Source organism: Homo sapiens, chromosome 1, assembly GCF_000001405.40.
Source record: "Homo sapiens chromosome 1, GRCh38.p14 Primary Assembly".
Classification (NCBI taxonomy): Eukaryota; Metazoa; Chordata; class Mammalia; order Primates; family Hominidae; genus Homo; species Homo sapiens.
This window is the reverse complement of record NC_000001.11, coordinates 97,818,872-97,839,784: the sequence shown is the minus strand read 5'-3', so window position 1 is coordinate 97,839,784 and position 20,913 is coordinate 97,818,872. Positions and strand designations below refer to the sequence as shown.

General features: G+C 33.1%; 1 protein-coding gene across 8 annotated transcripts in view; it reads left to right on the top strand.

Annotated features, from left to right (window-relative positions):
* Nucleotides 1-20,913, top strand: part of DPYD (dihydropyrimidine dehydrogenase) — an 843,317-nt gene that overhangs the window by 81,275 nt on the left and 741,129 nt on the right. For all 8 annotated transcript variants that reach the window (XR_001737014.2, XM_047448077.1, XM_017000507.2 and 5 more), the window contains 1 exon segment: nt 11,589-11,671. Coding sequence is in view for 7 of the 8 variants with exons in the window: in XM_047448077.1 (XP_047304033.1) it covers nt 11,589-11,671 (83 nt within the window). In the remaining variant the exon portion in view is untranslated.

Here is a 20,913-nt window from a genome sequence, read left to right as displayed (position 1 = left end):
TGTGGTGAATTGTCTAGTAATGTATATCAAAATGGTTAAAAAAAGATCCTGTCATTTTCACCATAATTTATCCCCTAGTAAGAGAAGTCACCATCACACATGTACAAGGATATATTATAGCATTATTCCTAACAGCAAAATTCTAGGGAAATAAAACTATGATTCCATCATTAAGAAAATTGTTAAGTAAAATATGTAATATTGAGAAGTTTTTGGAATTTTATAGTCATATTTATTGACCTGGTGGTAGATCCACCTGTTTGTGGTACACACACACACACACACAAAGAATTGCTGACTGATGTTTTTAAGTAAGTAGACCCCACTGAGAAACAAGAAGTACACACACATACCCCACACAAAAAGCTGCAACATAAAACGTGTTGTGTGAGCATGGAAAACTATAGAAAGGTAGTAATCTAGCTCACTGGAGTAGAATTAGATGTTAGGTTGGAGACAGAAAATTATTGTTACATAACTTTGTATTCAGTTCTTATAAAAGGGCATATATTACTTTTGTAATTGAATATATTAAGATTTGAAGTTAAAAAATTAAACCATTTACAATATGCGTAATTTTCAACATGCTTTATATATTGGGGAGTATACTGTGAAAGGAAGGAAGGTTAATAGTATGTTTGTTACTAAAACGTTTTTTAAAGGAAGTGGTTTTGGAAAGAAGTGGATGTATTTTGTAGGAGAAAGTTTTGTTTGCTGGTTGGTTTAACCAAGGTGTAAGGAAGTCTGATTTAAGGCTATAAACTTATTTTTCAGAAAATTGATTCATGAGGATCTGCGGAAATCACGGATTCTAGTTCCTATAGTCCCTGTTGTTCTAGCATTGGCCCTGTTCATTTGATGTGATTGAAAAGTTTATGTTAACTTCAGTAGTAATACTCAAGTTCTTTTATTTTTTTATTTATTTTTTTTTTTGAGACGGAGTCTCGCTCTGTCGCCCAGGCCGGACTGCGGACTGCAGTGGCGCAATCTCGGCTCACTGCAAGCTCCGCCTCCCGGGTTCACGCCATTCTCCTGCCTCAGCCTCCCAAGTACCTGGGACTACAGGCGCCCGCCACCGCGCCCGGCTAATTTTTTGTATTTTTAGTAGAGACGGGGTTTCACCTTGTTAGCCAGGATGGTCTCGATCTCCTGACCTCATGATCCACCCGCCTCGGCCTCCCAAAGTGCTGGGATTACAGGCGTGAGCCACCGCGCCCGGCCAAGTTCTTTTATTTTTAAGTTACATGACTGTTTCTACTCCGAGGAAACACACAATTGGAAAGAACACAATATTGAGTAACTTGAAAAATCTGACTCTGTTGATTACAGTTGATGAGCAAAATTTTAAAACCTTTTTCCAAAATAGTTTCCGTGAACCTAATGTTCTAGGAAAATATATTCTGTTTTTCACTTGTCTTTGAATACCCACAACTCTGAGCCACATACCGTTGCTATTATATCTGGATTTATATGGTTTATATAATAAACCTGAGTTTGATATGCTACAGCATTAAAGTATTTAGAGAACTGGATTTTTTTATCTTTGTGAATTCTGAAATGCTTGATAGTATTAGAAACATACTAAACAAAATGCTTAGCTAATTTATTATAAAGACTGCTGTCTGAGACTTGTTTTTAACATGATTACTGAGCTTGCATAAAAATTATATTTCTGGTCTAATCTGTTTAACCAGAGAAAATAAAAGCATACTTATAATTTTTGATATTTGGATGAAAGTCAAAAAATTCTTTTTTATTTTGTATCTTCTAAAATGAGGGTCAAAATTTTATATACTTAATAAGAAATATAGAAAATTGGATAGTATCAGATGATAAGCAACTTGATATGTATTTCAGACATCTGTGTTTCAAGTGTCTGTGCTGTTGGAATAAAAAATAGTGGGTGCCTTAGAATTCTATTCAGATCCCTGCTTCTATTTGCCTACTATCTGCTATGTTAGATTTTTACCTAATTAATATTTTTAAAAAGTCATTATCACATTCAAGCATTTGGTTTTTCAGGATGGAGAGTTTATGAAAACAGAGTTTATCTTTTCCATATTGATCTATTTATTGCTAATACTTACAATTTTAGAATTGATAATCACTTATTATTCTGGGAAATATGAATTATTTATTCGGTTCCAAACTTTTGAAATAACTGTCTGGTGTTTTAGAAACCAGAAACAGAAATTATAATAGGAGTTTAGACTATAATATATTGCTGCAAGGATAATTATTAAGGGAAAACACAGCTGACATTTTCTGATTTATGCACACAATCAGAGATGGAGTCCAAGGACTGTGACATAATTATCTTCATGCTAACAATTTTTGTAAATCTCTTGACAGAATTTTAGCTAATTTTAAAATGCCTTCTGAAGATTAGCACTTAAAATTGTTGGGGAAAATAGCACAATTTATTAGCAAGGGTATAATTGTAAACCTTCTAAATACTCATTGTGAATATCATTTAGACAGTAACTCCTGCTTTAGCAGCTGGTACATAAGACACCCGTTTATGGAGTCTTGAAACAACAGAGAGTGGAATCTAATTAAAGAGGATTACATGCCAAAGAAAAATTATTAAAAACAGACTAATAGACAATTGTTATGAATTTAGAAGTCTCTGCCAAATTCTCTTTTTGATACAAATTCATGTAAGTAACTGTCAAGTAAAAGCCTTTATTCCTCCAAAACCAGAAGGATATTGGAAGGCTTTATCTTTTGTGACTTAAAAATGATTGCTTCTCTGAATTTTAACTTAACACAAAAACTTAAATGGTTCTATTAATCTTTCCTCATGTATTAAAATGCACACATGTGCTTTTAAAGATAAATGATCATGAATACTATTTTAGGTTTTTTATTTGATATCTATCTAGTACCAACCATTCCATAACTGTGTACAGTATATGGAAATCTTAGGCATATTTTTTCTTTGTAAACAAAAATCAGTTTATCAATTTAGGCACTATTTATTGAGACTTATGTTAAATTGGCTTGCATATTTTTCTTTGTAATGTACATTTAAAATTCATGATACACCAAAGATTGTTAATTTTTAGAGCCCTAATCTAGTAAATTCCTTGTTTCTGTTTGAACTGACCCACTCCATTGTGATCTCAAGGTTTTTTTTTCCAATCAGAGAATTGAGGTAGCTTAAGGTAATACATATTCATATGTTAATTGTTTTTTAAACAACGTATTTTTAAAATAAGTGATCCTTCTAAGTATGTTCTAGAGAAAAGACTGTTTACATCTGTGAGTTTACCTGGTGTCTAACTTTAATCTTACACACACTGGGTGGTGTTATTACAGTACATCATGCACTGCATTACACAGCCATACCATCTAAATAGACTTTTCTATATTTTAACTAGATTAAGCATACATTAAAACTTGATTTCCAAAGACTAAGAATAACGTGTTTTCTGTGTTACTAATAAATGCATGAACAAAATCACTGGATTGAGTAAATGAGACATTTAACATTCTTAAGTGAGTGATAGTCCTATAAACATAGATGAAAAAATTAACCATCCAAAATTGAGACAGAGGAACACCACTGATGTTCAAGTAGTAACAGTGGATTTATTTGACTTTGCCACCCGCACCCCATCCCTGATACCAAAGTTTTCCTCATTTGCTTAGACACCACTTAGTCTAGCAGGGATTGCCAGATGCTTCAGCAAAAACTCCATCAAGGACAAGGGATTGTTTTAAGTTTAAAGCCTCTAGATTACATCAAATTTTTTATCCTTATAGGGATAATATCCTAGAGAGCAGTTGTGTAGCTGTGGTTTCCCTGTGGTGGTAATTAATTTAGTGGAGATGGGTCAGATTGTTCAGAGCTTAAAGGTGAGCAGGCTTCCCTGGTTGAAATAGTAGATTTTCATTTTTAAATTGCTCTTGGAGAGCCTTCCCTCTTGTCAAGATTAAGTGAGTAAGTAAATTATAATGGCTTCCAAAATAGTAAATATCAATATTTGTATAATAGTTTGTGGTTGGCAGTACATGGGACATAGAACTCCACAATATATATTGAAATAATGATACTGTGTTTCATTTGATTATCATGTAAACCATATGAGACTCAATCAAAATATAACCATACATTATGCAAACAAACGCATTGTAATTTTAAATATGAAATTATGATTAAAAAGCAAATACTTTATCCTGAACTTTGTTGACCTCTCATAGATATAGGAATGAATTATCAGCAGGTAGGATACTGTAGCTAAACTTTTAATTTATCTCAAAAAAGTACTAAAATATTACTTAATTCTTACTGTGTATGAGAGATGAAATCTTAAAATATTTCAAATAAAATTAACATACTTTCAGACTATGAAGGCAGAAATGAGATTCATTCTATCTTTTAAAAATATGTAATAATGTTTGAACAATGTATATATTTTCACATACATGTTTTTATTTACTTTAATCTTTACAATAACACTTTGAGTGGATAATATTACTTTCATCATCTTCATTGATACCTTCATTTTATGAAGGACTATTTGCAGATTGAGATGTTAAGCATTTTTGTAAGAACACATAAGCTGTTTAGTTGTAGAGATGAAACTCAAAAACAAATTTTCTCTCTGCATAGCTCCTACCTCTCCTACTGCATTATATTGTATTTCACTGTGACTCATATAAGATTCTCCTAGACAGGGCCTGATTGTAAGCTGGCCACAATTAGTGAAATGACATTAGCTAAATATGATTACCTCTTAATGTTCCCTGAAAGGATTAGACTAGTTAAGACACACCAAAGGGAAAAGCAATTATCTATTGAAATATGAATCTCTTGATTAGAACTGGAAATCATATATTGACAGTAGAATGTTCATCTAGAATTAAAAAAATATGAATATAGTAATTATTTCTTACTTGTACTTATAAAGAACTTCAGCAGGGCTAGTTTTGAGACTTCTTGTTGAGTGCAAAAATTAAGATACAACATTTTCCAGAAAGAGTAAGTTCACCTAATTGACTCATTTTTTTTTTTTTAGAGGAACCTAGACCTTAGGAAATTCTAACTACATGAGAAATGCATGTACTTGTATTACCTTTTCCCAATTTACTTTATGTCCTAAAGAAAAGCTTTGTAGTAACCAACATTGAACTGCCTTAGAATTGTAGCAGTACATGTTGGAGTGTGCCATTTTATTTAAATATTCCTCATATTTTAAAATATGAAATTTATCATTGCCTTCATAAGAGTGGTGGTTTCCCTTGTGATAATTCTCTGAGGTTCCTTCAAAATTTAGTATCCTGCAGGTTTTCAACCAGCTGAGATTTGTAATTATTGCTGATATATCACTAATACATGGCAATGGATGTGAGGCCTATTTACCTTATAACAGTTACCCTATTGAATTGGCTTTTTTTTTTCAAAATAAGGAGTTAAAAAAAAGGTTTTAAACCTTGGTGTCTCAATGATTAGCATACTATCTAGCACCCATTATGTTCTAAATAAATATTGAATGAATGAATGAATGACTGGTTTTCATTTCTAGCTTGGCAACAGGATTGACTTTTGTGTCTTTTTTTAAATTAGAAATTTGATGTTTGAACTTAAGATGCTTTATTGTCAAACAGCAATAGAAATTTGCCAACTTTTGGACCCCTTGTTTCACAAGGTTCTTGGACTACTGATTATATTTGTAACTTCCGTTTCTAAGCTGTCTAGGTCCATTGTGAAATCATCCTCCCTGATACTAAAATTTGTTGCACATAGACGTTGGGCCATAGATGGGCTTCAGGAGCTGTATTGGCCCACTGAAATTGTATATAGCATAGCATATTGTGTACTTGTGCATATGTACTTTTGTGAAAATGTAATTTTTTAAGGAAAAGGATCATGGTTTTCATTATACTCTCATAGGAGTCTTATGACCAAAAAGTTTAAAAAAATCCATAAAGACTTTCTTTTACTTTATTATTCATAAAAATCACCTGGTTAAACATGAAAAATGCACATTTTTTTCTATTTCACCATATAAAATCTGATCCATTAGGATTGAGTTGGGGTTCATGGATACTCTTCTTCTGTTTATTCTTTCCTCTTTTTCCACCTTTATTGAAAACGTCGTTGCTGAATGTACTAATGGATTTACATATATTACCTCATTTAATCTTGTTGATAGCTCTAGAAGGTAAGTATATTTCACGATGAGGAAACTGAGTTAATTAACTTGCCTAAGGACTTAGCCTGTAGACAGTAATGGTAAGGTCTGAGGCTAGAGCCAATTTTATTACCTTAGCCTTCCCCCTTTTTTTCTCTTAATCTGGAAAATTGTAAATCATTTCAAAGACAGGTTTGGAAGTAACAAACTCATAGTCATCTCTTGTTCCAAGAGAATTATTTCCTTTCTCTCCTCTGTATTCTTACTACATGTGAGCAAGTTGAAGTCTTGTCTTATTTACCTTCATATCCCTGTGCATAGTATTATTCCTGACATGTAATAGATTTTCAAGATTTTTTTTTCTGCACTGAAATTTAATTCATTAACTCGAGCCTTTGTTACTTAGTAATTCTGAGACTTAAACTCCAGTAGCTATGCCATTAACTCTTTGTGACTTTTCATTTGTTAAAATTGGTTTCCTAATTTATTCAATTTAGGTTTGTATATAAATTTTAGATCTGATTTAGTTTTAGTTATCATAATTATAACATAAAAATTCAGTCCCATGGAAATAAAGTCCTGTGGAATTATCAGTGATTTGTTTTATTTAATAATGTAATTTGCTAGCTGTTCTTTTTTTTTTTTTTTTCTTTGCCTCTTTCCACCTCCATCCAGAATCAGTAGGTGTTTGGTTGAATTTTGTGATTTTTTTTGGTATAATTTGAGCAAAGATAACTCAGTGAATTTTATTTAAAATCCTCAGCGTTCTGAAATCTCCTTGTATATTATTTTCTTTCATGTGACTGTTGGTGTTCTACTTGTTTCATTATACTTTTATAGAATCCTTAACACAGATGAGATATAAAACACTATGAAATCTATCACAGTTGAAACTCTAGACCTTCCCTCAACCCATGGGGATTCATTTGGCAGGAGGCCACCAAAACCAGTTCTTTTTGATGCTTAGTTTCCAGTTTCTACTTCAATTGCTGCCAAAATCTGAACACTTGGGAATTTAATTGCTCATTATATTTGTCACGGTGGTGTCACAGACCCAAATAAAGACTGTTGCATGCAAAATATTTATGGGTATTAATTTGGCCTAAATGTGTATATTGGATTCCATATTTTTCTACATTATAAAGTATAGCACTTCCAGACAGATGTAGACAGAATCCTGCAAGAGCTTCTGCTACATTTGACTCTGCTAGTAAACTATTTTCCATCCAGCTCAGTATTTAAATTTGATGACACCTAGAGGAAGGCCTATTCAGAACTTTATTATATTCACTTATGCAGTTTACTCTTTAGAAGCGGACTCGCGAGGAGTTTGAGTCTGGCTCTGAGGCTAGACTGCTTGGGTTCAAATCCCTGCTTTATCCCTTGCTAGCTGTATAACCCTGGGCAAGCTTTATCTTAATCTCCCCTGTGGTTGTTTCCTCATTTGTAAAATAGGAATACATATGGTTGTCATGCAGATTAAATGGTTAGACTTCCTAGAAAAAGTACCTAACCCAGAGTCACTACTCAATGTTAACTGGTTTACTATAATTAATACACACACACACACACACACACACACACACACACACACACACAATACATTATATATTAAAGCTATAATGTGTACCATGGTTGCTGATACAAATTGTTCCGAATTTTCAGTTTTCTACCAATTAATTAGAGCTAACCTGTGCCTGTTATATTACATGGCATGTCTGGTCGGCATTAAATTTAGTACCTTTGTGACCTTCCATTTTTCCTGTGTATTCCCACTTTCTTGCTCCACATTGTCTAGGCTAGCAGGCCTGCGTTTTGTTCCAGTATTTTATTACTAATCACTGATTATTTTTGTTCTTCTGCTTGCTGTTCTCAGGAGTAGTTTGTTCATTCATTCTCTCTGTCCCCTTTTCTCTTTTTATCTGTTGCCTTTTCCTTTCTTCTGCTGTGATGGTTGTAGGTTTCTCATGCCATTATATTGGTCAAAGGAAATTAGGAGGCACTTGGAGGGTGGAAATCACAAGCCACTACCATGGATAATTTTTTTGAATTTTTATGAACTTTCCTATCCTGTAAAGTAAGTCCCCTATGTGATACTTACCACTGAAATCGTATTCTGGGACAGTCCTATACTAACTTACAGAATCCCCAAGAATGAATAACTTGTTGATTACAAATAATTTACAGTTTTTCTCAGATCCATGTTCATATAAAGTGGGCTGAGAACAGATTTTGATTGGAGGCCGCTGGCTCAATTTTACCTGCAGTTGTCTTTAATGTTAGAGAAGTGTTATTGGTGGTAAACGTGACAGTGAATCTGTTTGCCCTTTACTCAGTGGATATTTAATGCTTACTTTTATTTATGAGAAGTTTGAGCAGATAAAGATGTTAGTTGCTTGAAATACTTATTCTATATGGCAAGAGCCTAATATTGTCTGAAATATAATTCAAATCATGTGTCTGTTACTTAGTGCTTCTACATATGGTTCTTGAAGCATAAAAAATAGATTTGATTTCAATTTCTGTATACAGAAGTATTTTTAGTCAAGGTAATAGTTAACTGTTTAAATGCTACAGTGCTTACTTATTTCCTTTGTTGTTCTGTTGGGTATAATAAACTTCATGCAGACACAAAGTGTAAAACATGGAGCATTTGTTCTTCTGTTAGTTAGCCTAATACTCATTTTGGGTTTCCCATTCCACATCAAGGCAGAATATGCCATTTTAACCACTTCCTGATAAAATTATTATTAAGGTTGCCGCTTCTACTCATTATAGTGAAGGTACTCTGAAACACGGTATTTCAGCTAAATCAGAAATTTGGCTGTCTTCAATTCCTGGCATCACTGAGCGCTCAGTGTGGCTACTCAGTGTGGCTACTACAGTCTCTCAGTGTCCACGTGTCCACTTTCTCTCTCTCTCTTTTTTTTTTTTTTTGAGATGGAGTCTCACTCTGTCCCCGGCTGGAGTGCCGTGGCGCGAACTCAGCTCACTGCAGCCTCCACCTCCCAGGTTCAAGGAATTCTCCTGCCTCAGCCTCCTGAGTAGCTGGGACTACAGGTGCACCCACCATGCCCAGCTAATTTTTGTATTTTTAGTAGAGACAGAGTTCACCATGTTGGCCAGGATGGTCTCCATCTCTTGACCTCATGATCCGCCCACCTCGGCCTCCCAAAGTGCTGGGATTACAGGCATGAGCCACTCTGCCCAGGCTTCTGTCTCTTATTTTAATCCAAGAATGTGTTTATCTCCTGTCTCTGTGGCTAGAAAAACTAGATAGTCAAGTAATCTTCCAACCCTGCTGTTTATGCTAGGAATGGACCTTAAAAAATTTATGTCCAATAATTTTGTTATTTCTTTAATTCTTTTATGAACTTGTTCCTCTACAGTGGTGGAGGCCCAAGTAAAGTTAAAAATTGCAGTAGGATACACACATATGTTTATTGAGGCACTATTCACAATGGCAAAGACTTGGAACCAGCCCAAATGTCCATCAATGATAAACTGGATTAAGAAAATGTGGCCCATATACACCATGGAATACTTTGCAGCCATAAAAAAGGATGAATTCATGTCCTTTGAAGGGACATGGATAAAGCTGGAAACCATCATTCTCAGCAAACTATCACAAGGAGAGAAAACCGAACACAGCATGTTCTCACTCATAGGTGAGAATTGACCAATGAGAACACATGGACACAGGGTGGGGAACATCCCACACTGGAGCCTGTCTGGGGGTGGGGGGCTGAGGGAGGGATGGCATTAGGAGAAATACCTAATGTAAATGACGAGCTGACGGGTGCAGCAAGCCAACATGGCACATATATACCTATGTAACAAAACTGCACGTTCCTGTACCCTAGAACTTAAAGTATAATTAAAAAAAAAAGAAATAAAAAAAAGATTGCAGTAGGATTGGCAAAGAGGAGGAAGCTGATGAGGAATTTCAGGGCCAAAAAGAAACAAACAAAAAATTATGTGTATTTTTTCTTAATGGTCTCAATCAACAACATTTATAACTTTGAGAAAGTTTTTAAATTTCTTAAACAGCACACAAAAACACTGTACTTAAATTAGAAAACTAACAAATTTGATCTCAGCTAAGCAGTTCTCTTTATTGAAAGACACTTCTAAAAATGTGGGAAGATAAGACAGAAGAGGATACTTTTAATGTATATACCCAAAATGGACTTTTTGAAAAATATATAATTTTAATTATTGTAGATTCATTTTGGTAATTTCAAAGATTTTAATTATAACAACATATAACTGTGTGTGTTTGTTAAAAGGATCTTTGCCTTAATTTGACTTAGTTTTAAAAAATATCAAGGTTAAAAATAGTGGTTTATATACCAATATATTTCAAATCAATTCATTCTTATACATTGGACATTATTAATATAATTTCTGTAATTTTGTAAAATTCAGGATACTTATTCAAGAATAGAAAGAACATATTAATACTAAAATTTTGTCATTTAGTTTTTCTTTCTGTAAAAATAAGTAATACACTAAATCTAGTTATTTTATCAACTAAATACTAGTAAATTCCATAAGAAATCTAGGGTGCCAAAAGATTCATATATATATGTATATAAATTGAAAATTTCTACAATTTATGCCCTCAAAACCTATTCGGGTTCTCTCAGATTAAGTGAGTTTTAAGTACGTATAATTATATTTAGAATTGTAGTAAAAATTTTTTAAAGTACTTTTAGAAAATTCAGTCTAGTATTGCTATTTTACCAAAAAGTAGAAACACTTATGAAATTTAAACTGCTTATGTCATATTTACTCAATCTTAAAATTCTTCTAAGAACCTGATCTAATCTAATTTTCACCTAATTTTAAGATTTTAACTTTAGTTTCAAGTATATAAATATATATGTGCAGTTGTAAATATTACACATAAAATTGTTATTTAAAGATCTGATTATAAAATTTTGATTCAAAAATTTTGAAACTTTTATTATTATATCTGTGCTCTATCCCTTCATCTTAGTCAATGCTAGCTTATTTAGAACTTGGTATTTATTGTATACTGTTTATGGTGATCAAAAACTTAATGGTTTTCTCTTTTGAGTTTAAATTGGATTTTCTATACTTAAGATTATTTTAGAGAACTAATTTTTATTCCTCCAAACTTAAGAAGTTTTCCTACTTTTATAAATTCATTTCTTCTGTTTATCCACTTTGAAAAATTGATAACGAAACTCCACTTTGAAAAATTGATAATGAGACTTCTGTGACAGCTGTATCATAAAATGTTTTTATTTTGTTACTGTTGGATTTAACTGTCAATTTTAATGAATGCTACCCAATTAAAGTGGTATGCATATTTTTCATGAGTCCATGATCAATATAATCAATTACATTTTTGCATAACTGCATAGATACAATTTTTCTCAGGATCTTAGAGAATTAATGCAATTTTTAAATATGTTGCAGAATTGTGAGAAGCTGGAGAATAATTTTGATGACATCAAGCACACGACTCTTGGTGAGCGAGGAGCTCTCCGAGAAGCAATGAGGTAAGTCTGGGTCACCATAGCAACAGTCACAGATGTGGTAAAGAAAAAGTCATTCTTCATTATTTGGGGAACAAATGAGTTCATTGCCACCATTCAGCTCTGTTCTCTAAGGTATTAATTTGTCAGTGGAGAGACTTCCCTTGAGGCTGTACTTTGGTTTTGAAGCTGCATAAATGTTAAGCCTCAGTGCACAGTAAAAAATGTAAATGTTTAATTTGTTACTTAAAATGCTTAAGGGGTGTCTTGTTTTATACTTATACTAAACTGTGTGATTGAATGAAAATATTGTTCATCTAAATTCTGCCTGTATATAAAGAAATAAACATTGTACAATGGTGCTTTAATTGAGTAGTATTTCCTCCTAATTAATATTTAATTTAAAGAGAGGTACTTACATTTTCATCTTCTATAACATTTTATAGGATTATATTATATTATAGTATTTTTAGTGATTTACATTTTTACACTATTACAAAGCATATAATTAACTTCCTTTCAACTATAGTGGTCTATAATGAGCCTGACTTTTTTTCTTTTTTCATTTCTTAACATCAGTAATTCTGAATATTTATATGAAATTGCCCCAAATTTGATGCCTTTTAAATAACTTTTAGTGAAGCATTTTTCAAATCTATTTGATCAGAATCAAGAAAGGCTTTTTATTAGACATTGAAAATTTGTGGGAAATAAAACTCATCATCCACAGAGTGAGAAAACAACAAATGTTAGTAGTCTTAAAAGTTCTGAGCTTGAATATTTGAGTAGCATAATTTCCAATATCTTTGTAAAGAAAGTGTATTTATATTTATTTAGCCTATAAAATTAAAATATGTTTTTAAAATACGCCTTCTTCTATCTTAATGCTCATTTTTCAAGGATGTTAAGGCTAAAGAGATTAAAATGAGAGAAAGGATAAACCTAAGAGCTTCCTAGAAAGGTAGTTTAGATACAATTTTGTTATTGCTAGCACACAGTTACCATATACTTTAGTTTAGAAGCTGCTCTCATTTAGTAACCTTCCTTTTACCATGCAAGCAGCAGGAGAAAGTAATTAAATTTAATAGAAGCTGCCCTCATTTTGAAGCCACTTCTATTTAAAACCACAGGGGGAGGTAATTAAATTTAATGGAAACAGTAGCTTCTACACAAAGATACATGGTACTTCTGTATAGATGATTATGATGTCACAAAAAGAGGAATAATATATTACTAGTATGAGAAATTACCAGCTGGAGCAAGTGAGCCTATTTTATTGTTAATGTCTTTACTAATAAAAAAAAGAGGGAAAAATAAAACTGAGTACACAATAGAGAATTTGTATCTATATAAAATGCAATCAGATATTCTCAGAAAGTTTAAGTTATTGAAAATTTTAGCAAATTAAAAATAAGTTGTAAAATATTTGTTTTGGAAAAAGCTAATGCAGAAATTATGAATGAATTTCTAATTTTCACCATACATAGTGGTTTATCCTAAAATTACCACTGCTATAAATTTAACATTTTTTGTAAATGCTTATTATGATAAGTTTAAATACAGTAAACATGCATGCCAATATTTACTTGGAAAACTGCAGTTATTCTCTATATTTTTATATCTATTTATTTTGAAGTAAATACATAGACAAACAGGAAGACAAAGAGGGTGGCAACTCTTATGCTTTGAATAAAAGAACTGAAGACCAAAAGACAGAAAGAACTGAAAAGAGGCAATGTGAATGAAAAATGATGTGAATGAGGAAAATACAAGGAACAAGGAAAGGATATGTAATCAGTGTAGGAAATTTGTCCTCAAGAAAAAAACAAATTGAATTATAAGAATTAACTTCAAATGAAGAGATGATTAAATTCTGCCAAATTTCGTTATACATAACATTTTAGAACATACCAGGATGTCCTGTTTTTTAAAAAACTAGAGATGAACTGATGATAAAAACAAGTATTACCTGCCTGGAATAACTTGCCAACCACCCATTCTATGAGACAAAGCAGTAGTCTGGATAATTTAAGTGAGAATTTAATTTTATGGCATGAAATGTACTTGTTTGCTTAAGTTATACATTTTACTTACACACACACACAGACACACATTATTGGTAATGTCTGGATTCATTAAACACAGTGGAATAATTTAGTAATTAATAGCATACAACAATTTAGTATATGGTGGGTCAGGTGCTTTTTAAAATGTGTTCGGAATATGCTTGAGGTGAAGACCCAGAGACTGAGTATTTCAGTCTTTTCCCTGGCCCAGAATATTTCATGGTAGCTTCTCTGTTAGTCCATTGGCCTGGCATAGCTTGGCTATGGGACCATCCGTTTTTCTTTCTTTCTTTTTTTTTTATTATACTTTAAGTTCTAGGGTACATGTGCACAACGTGCAGGTTAGTTACATATGTATACATGCGCCATGTTGGTGTGCTGCACCCATTAACTCGTCATTCACATTAGGTATATCTCCTAATGCTATCCCTCCCCCCCTCCCCCCACCCCATGACAGGCCCTGGTGTGTGATGTTCCCCTTCCTGTGTCCAAGTGTTCTCATTGTTCAATTCCCACCTGTGGGTGAGAACATGGAGCATCCCTTTTTCTTATTAGCTTGATCTCTTTAGCAGCCCCTAAGTGGCTCCAGGTCCCCACAGTGGTGTTCTTGTCCTGAGTGTGTCTAGCCAGGAGTAACTGGAACAGAGTTGGACCCACATCTGAAGATTGTCCTATTGTGGCTGCAGTGTTGGGGGGCCTTTCACCATCTTGGGTACCTCCTTATTTATTTAGGTTTTACTATTTCTATGAGCTTAGAACAGAAAAGAGAGGATTCTTAGCCACCTCATCCAGTCTCTCTTTCTGGCCAGTCTTTGCTGTGCAGTCTTGAATCTGGTTTCTTGTCAGTATCCGAGTTTACAAATCACTTTAGATCCCTCCCATGCTTCCTCCTGATCCCAGTCTTGAGGATGCCCTGAGCCTGTAGCCCTGGTGTGTAAAAAGGACGAGGGGTTACAACCTTCTCTGGAATATGCTAGCTAAATAAAACGTTAAATAAATACATTAATTGATGTAGAGAGAGAGAAAAAAAGAGGATTAGTGAAGATTTGGGTTTTCAGGTGACTGTGAGATAGCTGAGGTTAACTCGTGTAAATGTGCAATAGGCAGAGGGAAAATACAATGCAACAACTCAAGGAAAAGACTGAGAGTTGATGTGCGCATTTGAGACTTGTTAGTATTTTGATACTTGTTGTAGCCAAGGGAAGGCATATGATTTCCAAGAATAGTGCATTGGGATAAGAAAGAAGGAGAGTCCAGCCAGATGTCTACGAAAATACAGGGCTTAGGAAAATACGTGCCAGAAAAAACATATTTTGGGATTTAAAATTCTGAATAACCTTCTCTAACAGAGTAAGACTAGACTGAAATATAATGTGCCTAAGAAGAAAAGGACAGGGGAATGGAATTCCTGGCCGTTTTTCTGTGGCTCTTAGAGACATCTAGACCAATGCTGCCCAGACCTTTCTGTGATGAGAGAAATGTTCTCCATCTGTGCCATTTAGTGTGAGAGCCCTCAGCCACATATGGCCACTGAGTACCTGAAATGCGATGAGTGTAACTGAAGAACCGAATGTTTAATTTTACTTAATTTTTATTAATTTAAATTTAAATACTTATATGTGGTTAGTGGCTGTGGTTTGTTCTGTGCTGCCCTAAAGGGAAGTTTTTGTGTTGCTAATATGACACTTGACTGCCTCTCACTTAACAGAGTTCTCAACAATGGAGAGGCCAGAGTGAAGCTAAACCATGTTCACACACATCACACATAGATACACTTACTTTCTTAGAAAACTAATAGTAAAAGGTAGATCCATAACCTGGTAATAGATGTAAAACCAAAACTAAAAAGTATAATTTGATATAGAGGAGACAAGGTAGCTCTTATTTTATAAAGACATAATTTATACCTAGAAAGCCCAACAGAATTAACAACAAAACCTCCCTAAGAATTTGACATCTTTTAATGTGATTGTATTCAAAATGAAGATGGAAATTCTTAAGTTCTTCTGCGTGTTATTTAAAACAAATAGTGTCTGTAATTGATAATAGATACTATAAAGATCTGATGAAGTTATTATATGATGAAGTACCCCAAGTAGTTCAGGACATGTTCAATCACCCAGTAAATGGTATAAAAGGTTTTTTTTGTTTGTTTGTTTACTTGTTTGTTTTTGCTGTTTGGACAAAAAAAAAAAAAAAAAAAAAAAGACTTTGTAGTCTCACTTCACATGGCCCAAAGGAAATTTCATGCATTTTTAAAGAGCTAAGGGAAATAAATGAAACAGTCAAAGTCCAGTGGAATATAGAAGTGACTTTTGAGATTGAGATGGGGGAAGAGATGATACGCTAACAAGTAGGTGAAGAAATCACTAAGCTTTGATTCCAATAATAAAAAAAAAAGCTTCCGTCATTTGCAAGAAAATGGATCAACCTAGAAAATGTTAATGTTAAGTGAAATAAGCTAATCACAGAAGGGCAAACACTGCATGATCTCACTTTTATGTGGAATTTAAAGACGTTCATCTCATAGAAGTAGAGAGTAGAATAGTGGTTACCAGAAGCTTGGGAGAGTAGTGTGGAGTGGAAATGGGGAGAGGTTGGTGTTCTATAGCACAGTAAGGTGACTATAGTCAACAGTAATATATTGTATACTTTAAAATAACGTGAGAAAATTTGGAGTGTTGTCACAGGAGATGGAGACTATCCTGGCTAACACGGTGAAACCCCGTCTCTACTAAATATGCAAAAAATTAGCCGGGTATGGTGGCGGGGGCCTGTAGTCCCAGCTATTTTGGAGGCTGAGGCAGGAGAATGGCATGAACCGGGGAGGTGGAGCTTGAAGTCAGCAGAGATCACGCCACTGCCCTTCAGCCTGGGTGACAGAGTGAGACTCCGTCTCAAAAAAAACAAAAAACAAAAAACAAAACAAACAAACAAAAAAAGACAAGTGTTTGAGGTAATAGATATGCTAATTACCTTGATTTGATCATTACACAATCTAATATGTATTGAAACATCACACTGTATCCAATAAATATGTGCAACTATTATGTGCCAATTAAAAACAAACTTATTTTAAAAAACTTATGCAAATGGGGACAATCACAAAATTAAAAGACATCAATGTACTATATTGCCATATGTATGACAGATTTTAAAAATTGGGAACTCAGTAGATAATTGGCAAACTATGATTAAGTAACCCTTGGAAATATTCAACTCTAATGGCAAACAAAAAGTGTAAATTTCACAAAAAATACACCAATCTCTTGCTTATTGCTGCTAATGCAGTTTGGTGGGAAGTTTTTGAGTGCTAGAGATGGAATAGCGAGACAGCCATTCTCACAGATGGCTAGAGATGGAATGGTGAGACAGCCATTCTCACATTCTCAGAGGATTGAAAATTACTGCTGCATTTAAGGAAAGGATTGTGTCACTAAGTATTAAGAGACTTAAAACAAACATACTTTTTTTTGTATTAATTTACCTTCTAGGAATATATTATGCAGAAGCCATAGAAATTATGCATAATATGAATGTGATACTCAAATTATGGAATATAACCCTGAACAAATTTTACAGGAACTAATTGTCTACCATTAAGACAATAGACAAGGCAATTATATGTATATAACATAAATATATATAAATGTATATATTACATATAAATATATATTATTTATATATTCATATTTAGAATTTTACAATATTTATAAATTTATAAAGTATATAAAATCTGTGTATATATACAGATATATAATATATTTATATTTACAGATATATACACAGATTTACATATATTTAAAATAAATCTGTGTGTGTGTATATATATATAGAGAGAGAGAGAGAAACAAAATTGCTTGTAGAATATTATCTCAACTGAATATAAAAAATGCAGAGAAAAAATAGGAATGAAATGTGGCTATTACATCTGGCTGGTTGGCGTAAAGATAATTTTTTGAGGCGTATGCTTTTCCATTCTATATTTTCTGTAATGGGAATATATTATGAATAATTAGAAAAACAGTGAAGGAAAAATGGAGAAAACTAAAAATATGAAATAAATACTGGAATCAATAGTAAGAATCAGATTTGAGACTCCAACTGTAATTTTAGGTAAATTAATTATTTTACTCTTACTTTTTTGTAAAATGGGATTTAAAATCTCCTAGGATTTATATGAGGAACTAGGATATAGAGGAGAGAATGCTTTGTAATTTATGAAAATTAATAAAAATAAGATATAAAATATAATGTTTGTATACATTTTTCCTTTTAATGTTGTATGTGCTTACAAGAATTACATGTGTAATGTATAAATAATGGAATTCAATGGAGAAGTTCACTGCAGTCTTAGCATATAGAATACTAGAAGCTGTATATCTTGTCCAACTTCTACATAGTCTATTGTAGTGCCATGGGTGTGGAAATCTTATACAGCATTTCTGAAAATGATAATCAAAGAAAAAGCATTTTAAGGACAGGAAAAAAGTGCATCATCTCTAGGTCAAATCTCTGGTTTATAGTATGATAATGAATTTAGAGGTAAAATTCTCAACTTCTTTTCATCATATTCTTTCTTTATCTTGGTTGATTCAACTCTGTAATCATGCCAAAGGGATTTGATTTCTTTACTATCATATTCTGTACCTATTTTAGCCCCTGTGATAAATCCTGAACAGTAAAGGGAAGGATGGGGCCACTTTTAACATTGTGTTGTATTTTTTTTTTTTTTTTTTTGAGGTGGAGTTTCAGTCTTGTTGTCCAGGCTGGAGTGCATTGTTGCGGTCTCGGCTCACTGCAACTTCCGCCTCCCAGGTTGAAGAGATTCTCCTGCCTCAGCCTCCCAAGTAGCTGGGATTACAGGCATGTGCCACCATGCCTGGCTAATTTGTGTATTTTTATTAGAGATGGGGCTTCACCATGTTGGTAAGGCTGCTCTCGAACTCCTGACCTCAGGTGATCTGCCCTCCTCGGCCTCCAATGTGTTGTCTTTTTGTCCCTTTTCAGTCTCACAGGCAGTAGAGGGCTATGGGTAATAGATATATGCAATTGGAAGGTACTTGAATTGAATAACTTGAGAAAAGGTGACGTCAGATTCTGAAAAAGAAGAGGTACATATAGAATATACTCATTAATAAAAAAAATAAAAATACTATTGGGAGTTTTTTACAGTGTATTTCTTAATACACATAAAATATAGATTGTTAATAGATTTATGAGTATATCTCTATGGCAAGAATACAAATTATTTTTGGAGTGCCAACATTGCCATTAGGCATTGTTTTATTTGCAGAGCGAAGTCTATTCAGTGAGATCTGTTATATTTACATTAGTACTATAAAGATGAACTACCAGTACAGAATGTCTCTGAAATGTATTCTTTTTCGCTTGGCTTTATCACGTGTTAAGAATTTTGTCACTAGATGGTGATGTTGAGTTGCACAGTTTATCTGTGCTGGCTTTTTTACTGGTGTGTGTATACTATTTGTAGGTGCATCATAAACAGCCATTTATACAGAGTTAAATATAAAAGTATAGCCATGTAAACTTGGAAAGTAGCTTTTAAGAGGTCTAACATTTCTAAATATTATTTGAGTCAAAAGGTTAAAATTGCTTTAATGTCATTGTTTCTTTACCTTCAACTCAAGGACTTTTAGAGGTGGAAGCAATATAAATAGCAATCTAACTTTTTATTGAAAGGCTGAGGTCCGAAAAGAGATACCAAGACATTTAAAAGAGGTAGTTTTTCAGCTTTTCAGGTATGTCCCGTCTGTGTGTATTAGCCTAATGTATGTCTTTAATTTCACTCCTCTGTTAGTATTCAGTAGTACTGGTGTTGACTACCATCTGACCTAAGGGTTGTGTTACTACTGGAACCTAGGTATTATTTTAGCTGTTTATGATTTGGGTTATGTTAATATTGCATCTGTTGCTAAATATAATGGTTGAATTACACTGATACTTTAACTGATACTTCTACATGAACCATGACTCCGAGGAAGCTGTGATTAGTAAACCATGAACCGAGTAATTTTGTTCCTCTGAATAAGATTTAAAGATAATAATATGGCCATTATTCTACTTTATCTTATTCTTAGAGATTTGTGTGTGTGCATGTGTATGCATATTTCTATATGTGGTATGTATTATATAGATATTACATGTGTGTATATGTATGGATATATTTCTCTATAAAATCTCCTCTTTGCAGTCAAGGAAAACTTGCACTGTGACAGCATTTGGAGTTTGGACTTCCCTTGCCTTTCAGGTGTATTCATTAGGATTACAAAGATTTAAGGAAATTTTATGGAATTCTTTTAAAATAGTTAAAAATGGAAGAGTGGAAGGACAAGGCATGCTAAGTATTTGAGATTAGCAAATTGATTAAGTAGTTTACAAAGTAAATATAAAGCTATGAGGGAAAAATCAAAGTGGCATTGAAGAAGAATATAAAATAAATAAAATGAGAAAGTATTAACAAAATACTTCCAGTGAAATTAGCAGGTTGTTTAATAGTATGGAAAGTAAATAATTTTTTAAACATTCTGAAAATGTTATGTAATGATGGAAGTAGTAATACATGATTTAACGTTTGTAACTTTTTTTTAATTTTCAAAGTGTTGAAAAACAAATTCCTTTATAATCAGAAATGCCCATGTATAAGGGTATATTTTAACTACTTGAAAAGTTTGAGCAGTGAGATTGGATTCAGAAGCAATGTTTCAACTCTTTTCTATTTTAATCATTTCTAAAATTCTATCTTAATTATGTTTTTCCAAGTTTTCTATCACTAAATAGATCAGCAGGAACCTCCTGAAAGCCCTACTCCCCAAATCAGCAGAGAAGAGTATTCTCTTGTCTTCTATGCACAGAGAACATGTTATCTTTATCATTTCTATTACAGAAAAACACATATTTCACCATGTCCAGAGCAGGTTCTTTGATTTGGTTTATGCCACCTAACACATGAGGAAGTCAATCAGGATGAGTACTTTCAGATTTTTTTGAAATCAAAAGACAAAAGTGCATGATTACTTTACATAATCATGCACCTGCCCTAATAAATATCATTGAAATACAGGTCAGAAAATATATGTAATTAGTCTTATGTAATTTTTGTAATGTATGTGATTAATTTCGTGTACCTTGAGTAATATGAATGTATGTATATGTCTTTATACACCTATATACACAGGC